General features: G+C 35.4%; 1 protein-coding gene across 24 annotated transcripts in view; it reads right to left on the bottom strand.

The window, feature by feature from the left end:
- Positions 1-20,259, bottom strand: part of TCF12 (transcription factor 12) — a 373,221-nt gene that overhangs the window by 192,928 nt on the left and 160,034 nt on the right. For all 24 annotated transcript variants that reach the window (NM_001322151.2, XM_011521960.4, XM_047432971.1 and 21 more), the window contains one exon: positions 6,492-6,594. In NM_001322151.2, the coding sequence (NP_001309080.1) occupies positions 6,492-6,594 (103 nt within the window). The remainder of the gene's footprint in view (positions 1-6,491; positions 6,595-20,259) is intronic.

Raw genomic sequence — 20,259 nt, 5'->3', positions numbered from 1 at the left:
GAGCAATAGTGAAAGAAAGAACAAGACAGCAGAGCTATAATGTAGAAAAAGGCAGCAGATGAAACAAATGGTTGAACACAAGAAGTTAAAAAGAGGAAAAAAGCAACGTAGTGGAAAGGGACTGTGAGCTAGTCAGAATCAAGAGGGTCAATGCCATGTTTCTTTTTCTGTTTTTTTGTTTGTTTGTTTTGTTTTTTTGAGATGGAGTCTTGCTCTGTCATCCAGGCTGGAGTGCAGTGGCGCAATCTGGGCTCACTGCAACCTCTGTCTCCTGCGTTCAAGCAATTCTCCTGCCTCAGCCTCCCACACAGCTGGGATTACAAGCATGTGCCATCATGCCTGACTGGTTTTTTTTTTTTTTTTTTTTTTTTTTGTATTTTTGTATTTTTAGTAGAGATGGGGTTTCACCATGTTGGTCAGGCTGGTCTCGAACTCCTGAACTCAGGTGATCCACCTGCCTCAGCCTCTCAAAGTGCTGGGATTACAGGGGTGAGCCATTGTGCCTGGCCAGGGCCATGTTTCAAACTAACAAGTAATTTCATTTTTCTTGGCTTTAGTGCCTTCAACTGTATCTAGGCTCCTTTCTCTCAAGTTTCTCTTGGTGCCAACATTTTGTGTTTGTCAGCACAGCCAAAGGTCAGAGAATGTAGATCAATGAATATACAATCATATTCTTTCATGAAATTTAGGGTTATTAAAACACTGGAAAAAGTAAAAGGCCTCATCCTTATGAAACACTGTCAAATCAGATACTATTTCCCTTCGACACTTTATAATCATTTTCAGTATCTCATCTAGTGAAGAAATTTCAAGTATATCAAACTACATATCTTTTTTTATTTTTTATTATTTTTTTTAAGACAGGGTTGGATCTGTTGCCCAGGCTGGAATACAGTGAAGTGATCTGGCTCACTGCAATCTCCACCTCCCCAGCTCAAGGAATCCTCCCTCTCAGCCTCCCAGGTAGGTGGGACCATAGGCATGTGCCACCATGCCTGGCTAATTTTTTTTATTTTTTGTAGAGACAGGGTTTCACCATATTGCTCAGGCTGGTCTTAAACTCCTGGGCTCAAGCAATCCTCCTACCTCCCAAAGTGCTGGGAATGTGAGCCACCCCACTAAGCCAAAAGAGTTAACTTTTGAGGGCAGGGTTGTATTACCCTTTGATAGTCTGAAAATGGTGATTCTACATATTTTGTAACTCTAGGAGATTTCAGAATTTTTCATAGGTTATATTGCAAGCAATATCAAGTTTACAGAAGAATTTTCTTTGAAATTTGGTTATTTGAGGTACCAAATATACAGAAAAAAAGTGTACTTGGGCTTAAATTCCCAGACAAATCCACTGAAACCTATGCAATCTACAATGAAATGGAAATAAAACACAGAAGCTTTACCAGAGGTGCCCTTTAAGTTCTGAGATACAGAAAGTGGAGTTAAGCAAAGAGATTCCAGCAGCAATGGGAAGACACTTGGTCTGCTTATAAGTCAAATGCTTATAAGCAGAGGTTTGACAGTAATATACTTGAGCAATTAGACCCAACCTGTTAAATGAGTTAACATGCCTAAAATAAGTTACAACAATATATACAGTCTGCCCTCTATCTGTGGGTTCCACATCTGTGAAATCAATCAACCACAATTTGAAAATATTTAGGGGAAAAAAATGGATGGTTGCATCTGTGCCGAATGTATACAGACATTTTTTTCCTTGTCATTATGCCCTAAACAATCCAACATAAGAACTATTTACACAGCAATTACATTGTGTTAGGTATTATATGTAAGTTATAGATGATTTAAAGTATACAGGAGGATATGTGTGGGTTATATGCAAAAACTATACCATTTTATATATATATATAAGGGACTTGAGCATCAGGGGACCCAATCCCTCACAGATACTAAGGGATGACTGTATAGCAATTCTATTAACATGATGCTATTTTACTTTTCAGAGAACTTTCATGATCTTTTTTTTTTCCTTTAAATAACCAGAAACATTTCCCAGTGTCCTACAGAAAACTAGTTTCTCAGAAGCTAATGACGCTCTTTACAAAAAGCCTTCTGTGCCTAATGTGATTTTGGGGTGTCGTAGGCTAAAAAAGTTAAATCAGCTTTTTCTTTTTTCAGAGTCTTTAACATTCCAAAGTACAATCTGAATTTCTAAGAGGGAACAACTGATACGCAATGGTGTCCAAAGTTATTTCACTGTGGAACCGTTTTTCCACGGTCATCCATCAAGATCAGTGTCTCCATAATCATGGTTTAAGAAAATGCTGAGCTAGTAAAAAATCTGAGCTATGAAGAAACAACAGGTATCTTAAACACCTAAACAGTGTGGCCTAATGGAAACAGCATTCAACTAAGAGTCAGGAGATATGAGTTCTACATTTAGTTTTAACATTTACTGGCTTTGTGACCTCAGAAAGAAACACTTAATTGTCCTCTGCCTTAGTTTTAATCATTTGCAAAATAGCAGTTATAATTCTAGTTGTGGCCTTTTTCAGGGTTGAATAAAAGTTATTAAATTTATGAGATTATGGAATTGTAAAATTCTAGAGCTGTACAAGACCTCTGAGAATTCCCAGCATTACCCTATCAGAAAGGTAAAGGTATTTTCAGAATCTGGATTAAAATCCACACCTCCTAACTCTCAGCCCTGCAATTTCCCCCTGTACCACCACATATTACATTCACTCTTTAAAAGAAAAATTGTTAACAAACCATCTCTAGAGGCAAAATAGTGTCTCAGAAAGGAACACAATTAAGGGTCTCAAAAAACAAGCAAAACCGAAGATAATTTTACACCTTAAGTCTCCCATTTATCACATATACACATACATACATCCTAAAATAAGTAAAGCTTATAAACATGGAGGGATTAAAAAGATAATAGTAGTTTATTACACAATCACTTGGGGATGGAAGCCAGGCAATTCTGTGAGAATAATTTGTTTCTAAGTTCAACCAGTAAACTGATCCTCCCATCATCAAAAATATGACTAATTATCAAAAGGTAAAGGAAAACAAGTATTACTGAAATTAATGAGAGGATCAAGGGTGGAGAAATGGACCAGAGCTGGAAGAAGCTTGAGACAGACAAGGCTACTTGGTGATTGATAGTAGCCTTGAATGACCATGGGATTCACTGCTACGGTCAAAGCTTTTCATACAGTTTTAATATTTCAGAGTACAGAACTGCTTGATGCTAATTACCTAGTGATGTGCCAAAAAGATGTACTTATTTCACTCGAAACATAAGAAAAGCCCTCTTTCCCATATTGACATATCCACAGGAGATTTCTGCAATTCATAAAAGAAACATTAACTGATTCAGCATAAAACACTTCAAAATATATACATGAATATATAAACACACTTTCTGTTGCAAATTGTTCATTACTGAATCATTATCAACCCTTGTTAGACAAAATTTCTCATTTTTGCAATGTACAAAATCATTAAAGTATTTGAAAGCTCTATCACAGAAGACAGTGGTGCTTTATAATCCACTGTTTCTTCAGGCAAATGTGCTTATGGCTGAACATAATACTCAAAATAACAACATTCCCTAGATGTACAATCCCTCCCCCACTTAATGGTGTTTTTATATGTTGACAGCAACAGGAAATGTTACTGCTTTCCTATTAGTTTTAGCTGTTTCTGAACATTCATCATGCACAGCACCACTCTCAACTGTTACCTGTTGCGATGATTGGTTATCAACAGTTCCAAATGCTTCAAATACTACCATACACATCTCAGCAGAGCTTTAATAATTTAGGTTTTTCAGCCAGAAACTCCCTTAAATTAACAAACGGCCAGAAAAGTCAGTCTATCCACTGTAACTATATATTGCTATAAACCCACGTTTGGGTGTCAGTTCAATTACTTCAGCTCATATCAAGTTGAATTGCCTGTTGCTGTATAGAACTGCATTGTGATTTAAGAGGCATTCATTTCCAAAAGCAAGCTATTGTCGTGCAGATTGTTTACACTAAGGTACCTCATTTGATCATTTTTACTAAAAATAAAGGTAAGGAAGTGAAGTATATCAGATATTGCCAATGACCAGTGAATTTCTTTTGAACCTATCTACTTAATCATTTCAGGGTTCTGTCTCCTTCTTTTATGTATAAGTAAACATTTTTACATTAGGTAGTTAAAACTCACAAATAAAACGTATGGTCTGGGCCAGACATGGTGGCTCATGCCTATAATTGCAACATTTTGGGAGGCTGGGGCAGAAGGATCACTTGAGGCCAGGAGCTCAAAACCAGTCTGGTCAACATAGTGAGACCTCATCTCTACAAAACTAAAAATTAAAAAATTAGCTGGTGTTGTGCTAAGGAAGGAGGACAGCTTGAGCTCAGGAGTTCAAGGCTGTAGTGAGTCATCATCATGCGACCGCACTCTAGCTTGGGTGACAAAGTGAGACCCTGTCTCAAAAATAAGAAAAGAAAATGTATGGTTTGTATATCTGCATCTGATACAAAGTAGTACCTAAACAACGTAGTTCACATGAATGCAGATTTTTTTCATTTGAATTAAGAGATCAATCTACTTACAAATATTTATTTACTTCAAGACTTTTTTTAGATGTTGATTTTATACATAGGGTATGGATGACTATTGAACGTATTCTAATAATTATCTGAAAACTAAAGAAACCAACAAGCACATGCTCGTAATTGCTCCAACTGAGAAAATGTTACCTCAAAGTGAATTACAGATATATTGTTAGTCAACATCTGCTCAGAGCAACTGACTGACATGCATACCTCTTAGGATTCATTTAATTTCCACACTTGTCCCGTACAAAATTTTAATCGTCACCTTGGTACAAAGCTGTACTAATGATGAAATTCCATTGGGCCTAAAAGTCATCTCTATGAGTGAAGAATAAAGGTAAGAACATAAATACAAAAAGAGCAATTTCTGATTTTTCACAGTTCAGAGTTATATTCTCAATTAAGAAAGCTTAGTTTAATCCAAAATTACAAAAACACGGACTTTTACTTGCCCTACTACACTTAATATAAATTAAATCCTACTTGGGGAAAAGTTGTACTCCGAAAGGAAATAATTTGGAGTGTTATATCGATTTTACTTTGATGGCAAGCTCAATTGAAAATTTAAAAAATAAATTAGAAAGTTTTCCCTAGCCAAATAATTTATTGTAAACCTAACTCTGATTTTTTTATCTGGAATGATAATACATATAATACCATGATTTTCTATGTGCATTTATTTACGCTGAAACAAATTGTGATTTTAAACACAAGTTTTATTGCTTGTGTCAGTTTTTTCACTCTTCTGTCATACTCTAATGGTTCTTCTGGCTTCAAACTGTCAACCGCCTTCGGCAAAATCCACACTAGACTATCAGATTCTGTCTCCTCGACACTATAGAGAATAAGGGAAACAAAGACTGTGCAAAGCAAATCATTTTAAATAAATTGCAGACCACCAGGATTTGGGATTTGGGTAATCTACTCAGATTAGTATGGCTGTGTCTTAAAAGGACGATTCTAAGATCACAATATAGGTCATGTCCTTAAGAAATAAAGTAAGTAATGAAATCAATGTCAATTACACAAACTTTCCATATTTATATGATGCCATAACTGGTAAAAACAGTTATAACTGGTAAAACAGATAAAAGTTTTTGTAATATTTTCAGCCCCAGCATAAGCAAGAAAAAAAATCATAAAACATACAGATTATTTTCAATCAGGTTTTGCAAAAGGGTAAAATATTTACACAAAAAAAAATGGTATTCAAACTGAAAAAAACAAGCTTGGGTTTATAATTTTAGACTGAACAACTTTAAACTTTCATTTGAGACAGAGAAGGAGAAAGGAAAGGAGGGGTGTTTTGCAGAGCATGATTAACCACAAAGGTTTTGCCTAAACATAAAAATCAAGTTTAGATGGTAGTGCATACCCTTCTTGAAAGTGCAACTTCACTTCTTCAAACCAAAACTTCAAAAAAGTCCTAGTATGAAGCCAAGTGCTTAAAACAATGCTGCAATATCTAAATATACTATGTTTTAATCAAATTGTGCCAGGAGAAATATTGTCCAATGCAAGTAAAGTCTGCCTAAAATCACTGCTATGTCACATTTTTAATTACAACATAATACAACTGTTAAGAGAAATAGTAACATCACAAATGCCCCTAAAACAATACTTCTCTGCCCCAGAAAACATGTAATGCTTGAGGTCACAAAGACATTGCCAAAACTGACAATCAAAACACTGCCACTTCTTTTTTTGACACCAAAACAATAATGCTTTAAGAGTAGACCCCAAATTTTCTGGACATTTGATCCTCAAGCTGTGCTGAACAAGAAAAGCCCTAGATGCCCCTAGAAACTCAAGAACTTTCTTCTAGATACTTACCTGTCCCTCCTGGACAAAGGGATAAAAAATGTCTCTGACCAAAGAAGCTTTGAGAAGACTACTTGCAGAGAATTACCAACTTACCCATCAGATTTGAGTTCATGAAAGGTGTTGGGGACAAGCCTTCATGGGCTCCTAATCGACTGTCATTCAAGTGATCACTGTAATGAGGGCTGTCTGTAAAACCCTAGGGGGAGAAAAAGATCAGAGTATTAAAGAGATTATTTGGCAGTCCCGCTAATTGAGCATAATGACACTCACCTAATTAATATACAGACTTACACATGGTCATTTCTGACCAAGTTTCTTGTTCATTATTTGAAAAGCTAACAGCAGAAGTGCTTCTTTTATTCCTTTTAAGATTTTAAGTCAAAAAACATTTTCTTTATTGATCGTAAAGAAAAGTGGGTTTCTATAAATAAACACTAACCATGAGCACGAATGTTTTCAAAGTATCATCAGCTCTTCTGATGGGATGGGGAGCTATAAGAATTCTGTAAACTATTACTAAAATTACCTCTAAGATTACTTTACATCCAAAGGGAAAGTACAATGGATTTTTTAAAATAAATTAAGAAAATATATTTCTCAGTTGTAATAAATTAGGGAAATGCTTATCTTTATCCTCCTATTCACTCCCTGCCCCCAGACCCTAAAAATAAAGCGTTAGGCAATTACAAGTGACTTAAAATACTAAAACTAATTCACAATCAATATGCTAGAAATGAATCCTTTCCTAAATGGCAAATATTCAACAAAAAAGGTCTGTTTATACTCATTTTAATACTACTGTAGTAGAACAATATATACTCCTACAGAAACTGAGCCATGTAAAAAGTAAAACAATTATTAAACATAGCTGATTTAAATTCTTAAGAATGAAATTACAAACACCATTAAAAACAATAAAGCTAATGTTACTTTTCACAGTAGCTGTTATTACATTTCTCCTTATAGTTTAAAACATATTTTTTTAAAGCAAAGGGGAAAAAAGATAAAGTTTACAAACAAAAACAAGTGTTACAAAATTACTACGTGATGAAACCTGTCCTGGTTCTCAGACTTTTACGCACTCTTTAAGTACAGCATTACCTCCAAAATCATATTGTTTCTAAACAAGGCTTTGAACTCTATTAATTAAAACTGCAGGTCATATATATCTCTGCCAATCTAAAACCAACATGGTAAAGACCGGAAAAACGTATACGAAGCCCAAGTAAGAGAAAAAACTACCCTGGCTCACAGAAACCTGAAACCACCCAGAATCCCCGGGGACTAAAAAAATCATCAATCACTGAACATTTATCATTCCCCAGACTGCAGGCTACCATTTAAGAGGACATTAATGTGGCTGAAACAGGCCTCACTATCTTTGCAGGCATGCTGTCAGTTCAATGAAAGGGCTAGGAATAGAGGGCTAAATAACTGTCAAATCATTACAATTGTTTATAGATGCATGTCACAACTCCTTCTGCTGTTCTGTTTTAACACTAATCTTCTGGAGTGCTAACTCCCAAATAAATCTTTGTTTCATTTTTACATACTTCAGAATTACTGATAGACATGTGATAGATATTCAAGAAGAATCTGGGTGCCATTCACAACTTATGACCACAAGTGTTCTCTGGTAACTATAACCATAAGTCCTGTCTGATACAGCCACATTTAGTAGACCCTATATACACAATAGTATGGCTCTTAGCTAACGTCACTCCACAGAGCTTACCATTTTTTTGTTTTTGTTTTTGTTTTTGTTTTGGAGACAGGGCCCTCGCTCTGTTGCCCAGGCTGGAGTGCAGTGGCGTGATCACTGCTGACTAGCCTCAACCTCCCAGGCTCAAGTGATCCTCCCACCTCAGGCTCCCAGGAGTAGCTGGAACTACAGTAGTGCACCACCACACCCAATCAATTTTTAAAATTTTTTGAAGAGATGGGGTCTCACTATGTTGCCCAGGTTGGTCTCAAACTCGTGGGCTCAAGAGACCCTCCAGCCTTGGCCTCCCAAAGCGCTGGAATTACAGGCCTGAGCCACCATGCCTGGCCCATAGAATTTGCTTTTACTACTTAAAATGAATACTAAGGGACAAATCACTATCTCACGTACATCTGGGTGTTCTCTCTGCCACCCTTCCCACTGCCATTCTTAGGCACACAGTCAAAGGAAGGCATCAAAACCTATAAAAATACTCACTTAAATATTGTTTGTCATCCTACAGCAATACTACTGTAGAAAAATGCCAATTAAAATGTGCTTGCGGAACAGCTACATTGTTCACGCTACACATTTGAATGCTAAAGGCAAATGAAAGAGCAATTTTGTATCCTCCCAGTTCTCTTCATTCTTGAACAACAAAAAGTAAAAACACTACAGTTAAAAAAAAAAAAAAAAAACTATTTCCTAAAGCACCACTATACAAATATATCTAAGTTTGAAATGTATTTATGGTGTTGCTAAATGACTACACACAATTTATTAACTTTATAGATTAGATTACATGTAGTGTCTTTTACCCTGCTAACCTAACTTTTTTGCTGTTCCCACTGCTAATGACTGGGATTTTCACAGTGCACCAGAAAATAGGAGCCTATAGACTTTTTTCCTCAAATACAAGCAAGAGTTGGATATGAATCCTCAATACCTATTTACTGAGATTATATGCATATACTATTAATCCACATATCAAGTATCAGTAAGGCACAATTTCTCTGATTTAAGGATGAAAATTAGATATTTTCCCCAACACCTTAGAGGTTCAATTTAGCAAATGGAACTTTGTTTAAAAGCCACTGTCCAAGAGACAAGAAAGGAATAATAGTTCTTCATCTACAGGTGCAAACTGATGCTGGGAGAAGGGACAAATAGAGTTGCAAAATGTTTGTCACAGTTTTACATCGCATACAACTGTACACCAAAACTTCACTTCAAGGACTGGGGGTAGCTACTGTTTGGGATTATTCCTGTCATTCCTTTCACACAGTAGTAGTAATACCCACCCATAGTATAACTTTTGGTGAAACAAGATGAATAGTTATGAAATAATTCACAAATATTTAAATACGATTATCACAAGTCATATGTTTAAAATCAGTTGTAGAAATGTACAACTATTAGCACGTCAATGTATCATCTAGTTGACCGATACCTACAGCAATGCTTTGTAGACTTCAATGTTCTTATCAAACGAGTAGAGATCTTGCTAAAATGCAGATTAAGATGCATAAGGTCTTGGGGGTAGAACTTAAGATTCTGAATTTCTAACAAATAGGTGATGCTGATGCTGCTGGCTTATCAACTACACTACTAGTAGCAAGAACTTACACAACTTGGAATAAAGATCTTTTTCATAAACACAGAGTAAAAAGGTCTAGAAAGGTGACAGCCAGGCACCCCCCACTGAAACCATATTAAAACACCAGAAATTTCCAGATAAGAATAAATTAGGGAGAAACCCCACAGTTTAAAGAAAAAAAAAAAAAAACTAAAGCAATTAGAATAGCAAAATATTTTTATGTATGTATGTAATCATCCATGTAGTTTTAAAAGTAGAAGGTAGCTTAGCTGTCAAATATAGCCCCAATGAAAGAAATAGGTTAGTTGACTAGGAGTTTAAACTTCTTCTGAAATACCACATAGAGTTAGGCAACAAGCATGGCTGCTCATAGAGCAAAAGGGGAAAATGTCATAAACCAGAGCACTCACGGGGCTGACAGAATAGCAGAGAACAAAGCAAAATAATGTAGTAACTTCCAACAGGCTGGAGAACATAGGTTGAAGGTAAATGGCCTAAGGGAGTGGTTGCAGTGACAAGAAAAGAACAAAAACCAAGCAAACAATGGTTAAGTTGGAGCCCGAGTGGATCAACCAATGGGACCAGTAAATGAATGCTATTTCAATTTTAAAATATAAAGGAAGTAAATCAGTGACATCATTAAATATACAATGATCATGCTGCATATTTCAAATTGATAGAAAGTTACTATGCTAATAAAAGGGGTCAAACATGGCTCCCAGGACTCCTAATTAAGATCTTGAATTCTGTTAATAGCAACTAAGATAAACGAGATTTTTTAATACATGAGATGACATACATTATGAAGGACAGAGCAATACTATCAGAATTATCTATTACACCAGCCTTTTAGCCACAATATGCTATTGAACACCAAAATATTTCCAAATACAACCTAAACAATCACTGTTCCCATCTTATAAAAATGGAAAGCACTCAAGATATTAATAATTGATAAAATCAGTTGATGCATGGCAAGATTACAAAAACCATTAATTTCTATACTTAAAATCTGTCTAAAATTTGGTTGGTAAATCTTAAATAATTCCATCTATGAATGCATAATACTTCATAAAAGCTTTGATATTATAAAATGTGGTCTATAAAGTAGATTTCATACTTTTCTCTATGTTCATTTCCTGATGCAGGAACTTAGAAATGTTAACCCCTGCTACAGTATGACAACAGACCTGAAGTGATCAAAGCAGCTTCCATATTTAAACTAAACAGCACATAATCAAATATATATATATATAAATTTTTTTTTTTTTTTTGAGACAGGGTCTTGCTCTGTTGCTCAGGCTGGAGTGCAGTGGCATGATCACAGCTCAACGCAGCCTCAATCTGCTGGGCTCAAGCAATCCTCCCACTTCAGCCTCCTGAGTAACTGGGACTACAGGCACACACCACCACGACCAGCCAATATTTTTATTTTTTGTCGAGATGGGGTCTCCTATGTTGTCCAGGCTAGTCTTGAATTCCTGGGCTCAAGTGAACCTCCCATTTTGGCCTCCCAAAATGTGGGCAATCAAATATTTTGTTGTATCCAAGGTGAGCAGGGGGGTAGGGAGAGGGAGAGGGAGAGAGAGGGAGACAGAGGGAGACAGAGGGAGAGAGAGGGAGACAGAGGGAGACAGAGGGAGAGAGAGGGGAAGAGACAGAGGGAGACAGAGGGAGAGAACACACCTAGTATTATTTATATAATAGTACTCTTATCTGGTTTCTCACCTCAAAAATACAAGAATTTTTTCTTTTGGCTAATTTTTAAAACGGCTCATTTAAAAAATTTATCTCATCCAATTTATAGAGTATCATCACCAGAGGATCTTTCCCAGTTCAGAATACACTTACAGTTTTACAAACCTATGTTGTTATTTCTTTGTATGAAAATCAGTTTAAAAAAAAGAAACCACTGTTTTTAAAATTCTATTAAAAAATTTTTCAATTCTTTTCAATGGCCTTTTTTTTTTTTTTTTTTTTAAAGGGAGGGAAAGAGGCTCTTTGAATAAAGATTACTTTCTCAGGAAAGCTTTCCCTGGACCCTAACAAGACCAAATTGCGTGAGATTATTCTGTGCTCCCACAGCAGTGAGCACTCCATCATTGCACGGCTCCTACTTATTAAAACTGCCTATTTAATTATCCATTTAAATTAAATTTATAATTTAAATTTGTGTTATAATTGCACAGCATAGTGTAGTGGATAAACATGAAATTTTTGGAGCCAGACTGGCAGGTAATTCCATCTTTGGTACATACAAGCTATGTGGCATGGGGCATATTAAACTTTCTTATCTCAGTTTCCTTATCTGTAAAATGTAGATGATGGTAATAAGAATGCGTTCACTTCACAGGTTGTTACAAAAGGATTAAATAAGTAAATATATGTAGCACTTGGAAAAGTTCCTGGCACATAGTAAGCACATAATAAACACTAGTCATTATATTATTATTATTATTATTATTATTATTATCATCATCATCCAAGTTAGAGATTATGTCTTACAAATTCTGAGAGCACAGGGACCCTATTTTTTTTCTTTTTCCCCCAACAATGACATCCTCAGAATGATGCCTGCCACATACATAGCAGGTGCTGAACAAATGACAAAGGGAGGGGAGGAGGTTTTAGCTGCTAAATCTTTAAAATGCTGCTGAGTTTTAGATATTATAAATGTCCAATCAGTTTCTCCATAGACCTCAGGGTAACTATCAGAAAGAAAGGTGGTAAGAAACTAGCTTATCTAACCGGATTGAACAAGTATCCACGGGTTTCTGGTATTCAAAGAGCTACAAGATTTCCCACCAATTACCGAAATCTTACACCCTCTAAGTGGGCAAAAGCCAGAAGAATCGGCCAAAACCCATAAGCCATCAGAAAGTTCTGGATGAGGCCTGGATATAAATAAGTGTTTATGCTTCAAAGTGAAATATTAATAAAATGGAAAGTTAAAAAAGTAAGAATAAATGCAGTTTCAAAGAGAGAAAAGTGTTCTTACTGTATTTCTTCACTTACCCCATCATAAATTGCCAAAATTAATGTCTAGATAAATAACGCTATACTTTCTAAAACAAATCCTTGAATGTCACTGTCTCTCTCAGTTAAACACAACTATGAAAAAGTCAAGTGGGTTGACTTGATCACAACAGTCTGTTATGTGAGAGCGGGAATTATATCTCTAGTTACCACTCACTAATCTCTCACAAGGGACAAGCACACTAACGGGCATGTAGTAGGTGACTAATCTGTTAATGTAATGAATGACTGAAAAATAAACACTACCCCAGTTAATGAATCAGGTCTACATCGGAAACAGCTACTTAATAGTATTTTAAGATTCTGATATCCTTTAACAGGTCAATACTAACATATAATAAAATTTCTTAACAGGGAGATAGATTCTGTCATCCAGGTCCATACATTTCTACAGGGCAAGAACTTTTTATTCCTCTTCATAATCCAAAAAGAGACTAGCATAGAATTTTGTGTGTAATGAAGTGCTTAAGTTTTTGTTGAGAGGATGAATAATCTCTTCAGGTAACATTTTATTCATGAATGCTAAGTAGTTTTATAGAATTACTCTAATCCAAGAAGGAAGAGCGAGTCTTGAACTGGCCTAGGAGGAAGAGGAGAATCAAAAACTTTTAGAAATAGAATATTCAAAAAATATGCTGGATACATGAGATGCTGCTTAGCACAAGGGCAAGTATTTTTATAAAATTACCTGTCCTTAAAAACTGTACTATATAGTGTGACATATCTAAACATTTTTTAGGAAACAGTTTATTCTAAATTAATGTACTAACTTTATACCTGTAAAAGGTTTATTGAAAGATTACATTCACATTAATGTACAATTTCATAATATACATTTAATATACATTTAATATACATTTATAATATACAATTAATATACAATTTTCTCCCTTTGCCTTCTATATATTCTTTAGTTTATTTCCAAGAAGTATTCTTTTGTGAAATACTAGATAGTATCTTTTAAAAGCTAGTCTTTTGCAGATAGTTTGAGAAGCACTAATCTACATCCTCAGTACTAAAAATGTGGTCCTTAAAACTGACTTATTGGCAAATTCTGGGAGTTTGTTGAAATGCAGAAGCTCCGGCAGAGTTTTAGGCCTAGTGAATCCAGAATCTGCATCTTAACAAGATTTAAAGGAGATTTATAAACAAAATGAAGTTTGGCAAGAACTGGTTTATATTATCCTGTAAGTCACAGGACCCGGTACATTGTAAAACAGTATTAGCCCTATTATTTCTTTTTGTAGTACCACTAGCACTCACTAGCACTACATCAAATCCTAAAGAGCTCACATTGTAAAACCATAATTCCACTGTCGTGTTCATAAATCTGCCTATCACATACTATATACAACCAGTAAAATTAACAGTTAAAATGTTACTGTCCCCCTCCCAAGAAAATCTCACATTTTACATAATTTAAAGCTTTTATCTTCTACTACTATAAATCAACAGTATTATCACTGAGCATATAACTGCTCGTATATATTTTTATTTCCTGATATTTGTAAAATCAGTTAAAATAAATCAAACATAAGGTACAATATAATTTTATTAAAACCCATGCTTAAGAAGCAACAACTAATTGCAAGAAAAGAGAACATCAGCCAATGAGCAAAACCATGTTCTTACATTCAGAGGATAACATATTTTAAAGTAACTTTAAAATACCAGTCCCATATATTAAATGTTTATTTTATAACAACAGGCCGGAAAAATAGGAGGAAAAAAGAATATACAATAATGCTTAACTTCTATAAAATTTATAGAGCTGGGTGCAGTCGCTCACACCTGTAATCCCAATACTTTGGGAAGCCGAGGTGGGAGGATCACTTCAGCCCAGGTGTTCAAGACCAGGGCAACATAGCGAGACTCTGGTGCTACAAAATACAAGAAAATCAGCCAGATATGGTGGAATACACCTATAGTCCCAGCTACTTGGAAGGCTGTGATAGAAGAATCCCTTGAGCCCAGGAGTTGGGGGCTGCAGTGAGCCAGTATCACGCCACTGCATTCCAGCATGGGAAGCAGAGCCAGAGCTCATCTCAAAAAATTTTTAAAAATTAAAAACAAATAAATAAAGTTTATAGAAAGAAGACTAGAAAATTAATTATAAAAAGTGTTAGTATTTTTTTCATTTGCCTATATTTTCCAAAAATTCCTAAAACAGTCGTTTATTTTTCTAAAAGATATATTATTTCTCAGATTTTCCTTTAACATGATTAAAATAACATATACCCATTGTAGAAACGAGAGAATGTACAAAAATCGCATCAAGTAAGCAGGAAAAAAATCTCTTTTTATCTCCACTGAAATGCAAACATCAACAAGACACATTTTCTTTCAATTTTTAAATGTTTCTAAACTAGTCCAGACATATTAAAATGTACATAATAAAAAGTCATGTGCCCACAACTCAACAAATAGAACATTACCAGTATAGTTTAAACCCCTATGTAATTATAATTCCCATTAGAAGCAAACACTATCCTAAATTTGTTTTTTATCATTTTCACACATTACTTAATACTTTCATTACATATTATTATCTAAATGATATATAGCATCACTTTTTATGTTTCTAAATAGTATCTCTTTTTCTTTATTCAGTTAACATTCAATATATAAGACTGATGTATGCTGACAACGTGTAGCACTGGTATATACATGTCACTCCTATAGAATACTCTATTTATAAACATACCACAATTTATCCAATTCCCTATTGACATTCAGCTTGCCTCCAATTTCTCCCTATTACAAATAAGGTTGTTATAAACATTTTAGGAATATGTCTCCTTGTACGAATTTATATGAAATTTTCTCTTGGGGTCAATTATCTAAATGTGAAATTACTGGTTTGCAAGGTATGCTTGTGTTCAAATTTACTAGATATTGCCAAACTGTTCTCTAGAATAGAAATATGTTATCATTTAGGGGGAAAGTCTCATATCTCTTGCTGCATCATGAAAGCTCCAAACTTATGAAAGGTGGCTTCCAAAATCCCCTTGTAAGTTGTATGTAATTTGTGACACACTTCCCAAATGATAAAAAGCAAAGCAATCATGATTACATTTCCTTATCAGTTCACTTAACCGTTAGTGTAGCTATATTCTTATCTGAAATAGTTTGGCCTGGGTCCAAAGGCAGTCCTTTGCCATAAAAAATGTTCAAGACACATTTGTTAAATGAGTTAATCTTTGCTAGCCTCTTCGGTTCATCTTAAGTTTCTATAAAGTTGCATACATTACTCCAGGCACCAATAGATTAAAATCTGCAAGATATACCATATATTTTTAGTTTGTCACTGGTATCCTATCTTGATAGCCAGTGTTGTGTGGACTGTTAAGAGTCATGGCAACAAGACTGGCTGCTGCTGACTTTTAGAATCTGACCCATGGCCGTAATAATACACAGTTCATGATTAAAATAGTACTGCATATCTTGGTAGGAACCACTAAGACAGTACTTTTGAATTCTGTTACTAGTCAGGGCAGTTGACCATGAGCCACTTATTTACACTCCCTCTTCCTGCCCCATGACTAAAGCCAATCATCTTTAAGGGTAAGTTCCAATTAAAAGTATAATAGTGAAACAATGTTTATTTAATAACTGGCTCACATATGTGCTAAATCCCTGGCCTAGATTCATTTCCTTGAAGGTGAAAGTAGATAAGCCACAGCTGATAGATCAGTGGTTCCTTCCAGGAATATATTACCGAATCTTCACTCATCCTCCCTAATTTGAGGTTTTGTGTAACAGTACTAACCATAATAGCATGGGCCGGGTGCAGTGGCTTTTGCCTATAATCTCAGCACTTTAGGAGGCTGAGGCTGGTGGATCACTTGAGGTCAGGAGTTCGAGACCAGCCTGGCCAACATGGTGAAACCCTGTCTCTACTAAAAATACAAAAAACAAAAACAACAAACAAACAAACAAAAAACATTAGCCGGGTGTAGTGGCATGCGCCTGTAGTCCCAGCTACTTGGGAGGCTGAGGTAGGAGAATCGCTTGAACCCAGGAGGCAGAGGCTGTAGTGATCTGAGATCACGCCACTGCACTCCAACATGGGTGACAGAGTGAGGCTCCAACTAAAAAGTAATAACTACTACTATAATAAAAATAATAATAGCATGAGCATACATTTGGCGATACCATTTGCCAGAACTTGGGCTAAAGGCTTTATTCATTTAATCTTTACAACACTATGAACTAGTTACTATTATTCCCATTCCACAGATGAGGCAAGAGGCACAGAAAATTTACACAGATCACCCAAAGTCTAACAGTAAATAGTAGGATGGGGATTTGAATCCAGGCTGTCTGTCCAGAGCCCACCATGAAATGCTGCCTTTCTAGTAATAACTGCTCCCCGATAGAACTATTGTGAACTGAATGGCTCAATGACAGGCTGAAGCCATACAAAATGAAGAATAAATCTGTTCAAACAGTAATTCATAAGAATAAAGGAATGAAAGTAGGAAAATGCAACAACAAAACAAAACAAAACAAAATTTAACTACCCAGTTTGGCAAATGGTGCTCACAACAGTGGAGACAGTCATAAGAGCTTTAGTAAACTGTTTGGACTGGGGGACTCTCATGAAGCCACAAACAAAATGGGAAATGGAAAAACCTCCGCTGCTAAGTGAACATCTACTGCAGACATTTTTATCTACCGCAGAACTTTTCTCTTGCCCAAGGTGGGAATAGGTACAGTAGTCTTCTGGGATGCTAACATAATTCCCATGGAAAATGCATACAGAGGCCTCAAAAAACCTAGAGGCAAATTTCTACAGCGTCAGAGCCAGTAGTTGAGTACCCTTATGTTAAAGTTTATGATAATGATTTGGCAATTATAGTTAAGAATTAATATTCATTATAATTAATTGGGAAAGGCTATGTAACTCCATTCTAATAAAAGGCATCCGAATGGCCTAGCTGTAATGCACTGACAATTGCAAAAAAGGAAATTATTCACAGAGATATCAAAATCTTTTGGGTCAGGGCCCTAAATCCAACATCAATTGAATGCTCAACAAGAGAAACAGCATGATAGGGGGCACTAATCTTCCTCAGGGACTCTGTGATTCGTTCTGCAGTACTGAAGCTTCCCAGAAATAGCAACTGAATGCAAAACGGCTTGTTAAGAGACAGACCTATTATCCCCTTCCTCAATTCCTAGATCTCTGAAATCAACAGTGATTATCTGGCTAAAGGACACAGGTGCCATGTGAATAATCCAACAAAGAACCGGCAATGAAGGAAGTCTTCATTTCTACTTAACATCAAAGGCAGACAGTACCCCTGCTTTCTGATGTACAGTATACAGTTTCTCTTGCAGAGTGCTCAGCAGCTGAAATGCTGGAACTCCCTTTGAAAAACAGAAAGGTTTCACTATCAAGTTATGAGAGGTAGGTGTAACTGTGAGTACATTAGATATACAAAACCTAACTTTTAGAGATAACCTTTAAATGATAAATTAGCTTCTTAAAACTAAAATATAATCCTGTCAGTAGAGACATTTATTTTCAATGAGCAGCTTACTGAAGTAACTAATCAGGTTTTTCTTGGAAGTGGAATACTTCCTCATTTTGAACTTCTGTAATTTTTCAATTTGAAAGAGCATCTAAATTATTTTTCAAGAAAGCTGCTGTTTTAATTTGAGAAAGCGTTTTTAGAATGATCTTTAAGTCTCCTTAAATATACCAAAATCACAGATTTAGAATCTGTGAGTCTTCCTATTAATATGTTAATACTTTATAGATTTATTTAAAGAAAATATCTCTTCAGGTTAGTCCTTATTGCTACAAAGAACAAAGGAATTAAATTCTAAATACACTACCCTCTCATTTCCATAGCACTTTTGTAACTAAAGACCATTTTACTTATTTCTGCATGGTTGTCAGTCTCCTTTCACTGAAAAAATCAGTAAGTAAAGGCATTTCCTTCTCTAACCACGTTAGAGAACAAGGCTGAGGAACAACCGCCAGGGGCTACTCATTCACCAGTTTGAGAAACATCTACTAGAATTGAATAAAATCACACAGCGGAGGGATTTTGTGGTTATTTGTGTGTCCAGATATACTGACTCGTATCTTACGTCAATTGATCTAATCAAACTATGTGAATTTATAAAAAATGAAAGCAGAAAAAGTACTGTTCCACTCCATCCCTACTCTACCAAAAAGCATGGTTTGTATCCTGGAGTGAGCATGAGATGTGGAAGTGCCAGCAATTCTCATGGATTTTTTAATGCTTCTCAGTGGAAGCATCTCCTTCCATGGCCATGATTCTAGTGTGAGAAATAGTATTCTTCATATAACATGGTATGAAAACACAAGTCAGCATCTTCACCTAGTACACAATCAAAGAAATAACTATCTGATCCATTACCAGAGAAAAACTCTATTCTGATGTGTGTATGTAAACTGTGAAGCACGTTTAAGTGGCATTACTTTATTGGAATAGTTTCAGCTAATACATGTAATTAAAAGTAAAAAGCAGTTATTTCCTAAAAAATAAAATTACACTTCAATTCAGACATTTAGTCCAAACTGATACTGCTTTACTGTATTTGCACCCAATACAAACTTTTCACATACTTACGAAAATATAATGAGTTAATTACATTTGCACATAATATAAAATTTTCAGATACTTACAAATATAGAAGACCAGCATTACTTTGATAACAAAAGGTCACAGCATTACCTTTCTTTTCTTATACCCTTCCTAAGGAAACTAAAGCTAATTGTGATATAAACTGAGTTATCTATGTGATCAAATACGATGGTTTTCATCAGCAGCAATAACCGAAATGGATTTCTTGTCTGCTTTGAGTTCTAATATTTGTAATGCATACTATCAATCTATATCCTAAATGCCAGGTGTGCTTTTTGATACTTCATCTTCTCGTCTTACCTGCTCTCGATTTTTAGCCCCCATTTTCTCCTTCAACACTCATCTTATTTTTTTACCTATCTTTTCATGTCAATCTAGTTATTAATGAAATTAAAGAAATTAAAATATGCATATGGAAGTGTGATAATGCATATGTATATATGTGTAGTACTGCCTATAATACATTAGGCATTGTGCCAGATGATAGGATGCAAGAATAAATAAAAGCCTTTGCCTTCAAGGAGCTTACAGTCACAAGAAGTCACAAGAAGAGAGAGACATTATCTGAAAATATATTAATAAACTGAATAACCTTTTCATGAGGTCTGGGCCTGAGATGCATGTACCACATTATAGCTTCCAAGGTTTGATTAGTACCATTGGACTCCCTAGTAGTCTAGGGGACAGGATGATAATAAACAGTAAAAATTTAAATGAGGTACAAACCAGTCCGCCAAATTACAAGTTAAACTTGCTGGGTTTTGTATGAATAGTTTAGAAGATGCTAATACACCAGCACAGCTTCAAATGGGAGCACCAAAAGCAGAACAAATACTGTTAGGCAGGCAGAAGTCGCATTAAGATTTGCTAAAGAATACCCTAAAGCAAAATGAAACATATTGA

The sequence above is a fragment of the Homo sapiens genome, chromosome 15 (genome assembly GCF_000001405.40).
Source record: "Homo sapiens chromosome 15, GRCh38.p14 Primary Assembly".
Lineage (NCBI taxonomy): Eukaryota > Metazoa > Chordata > Mammalia > Primates > Hominidae > Homo > Homo sapiens.
The sequence above is the reverse complement of the archived record's forward strand: the minus strand, read 5'-3'. Positions and strand labels throughout refer to the sequence as shown.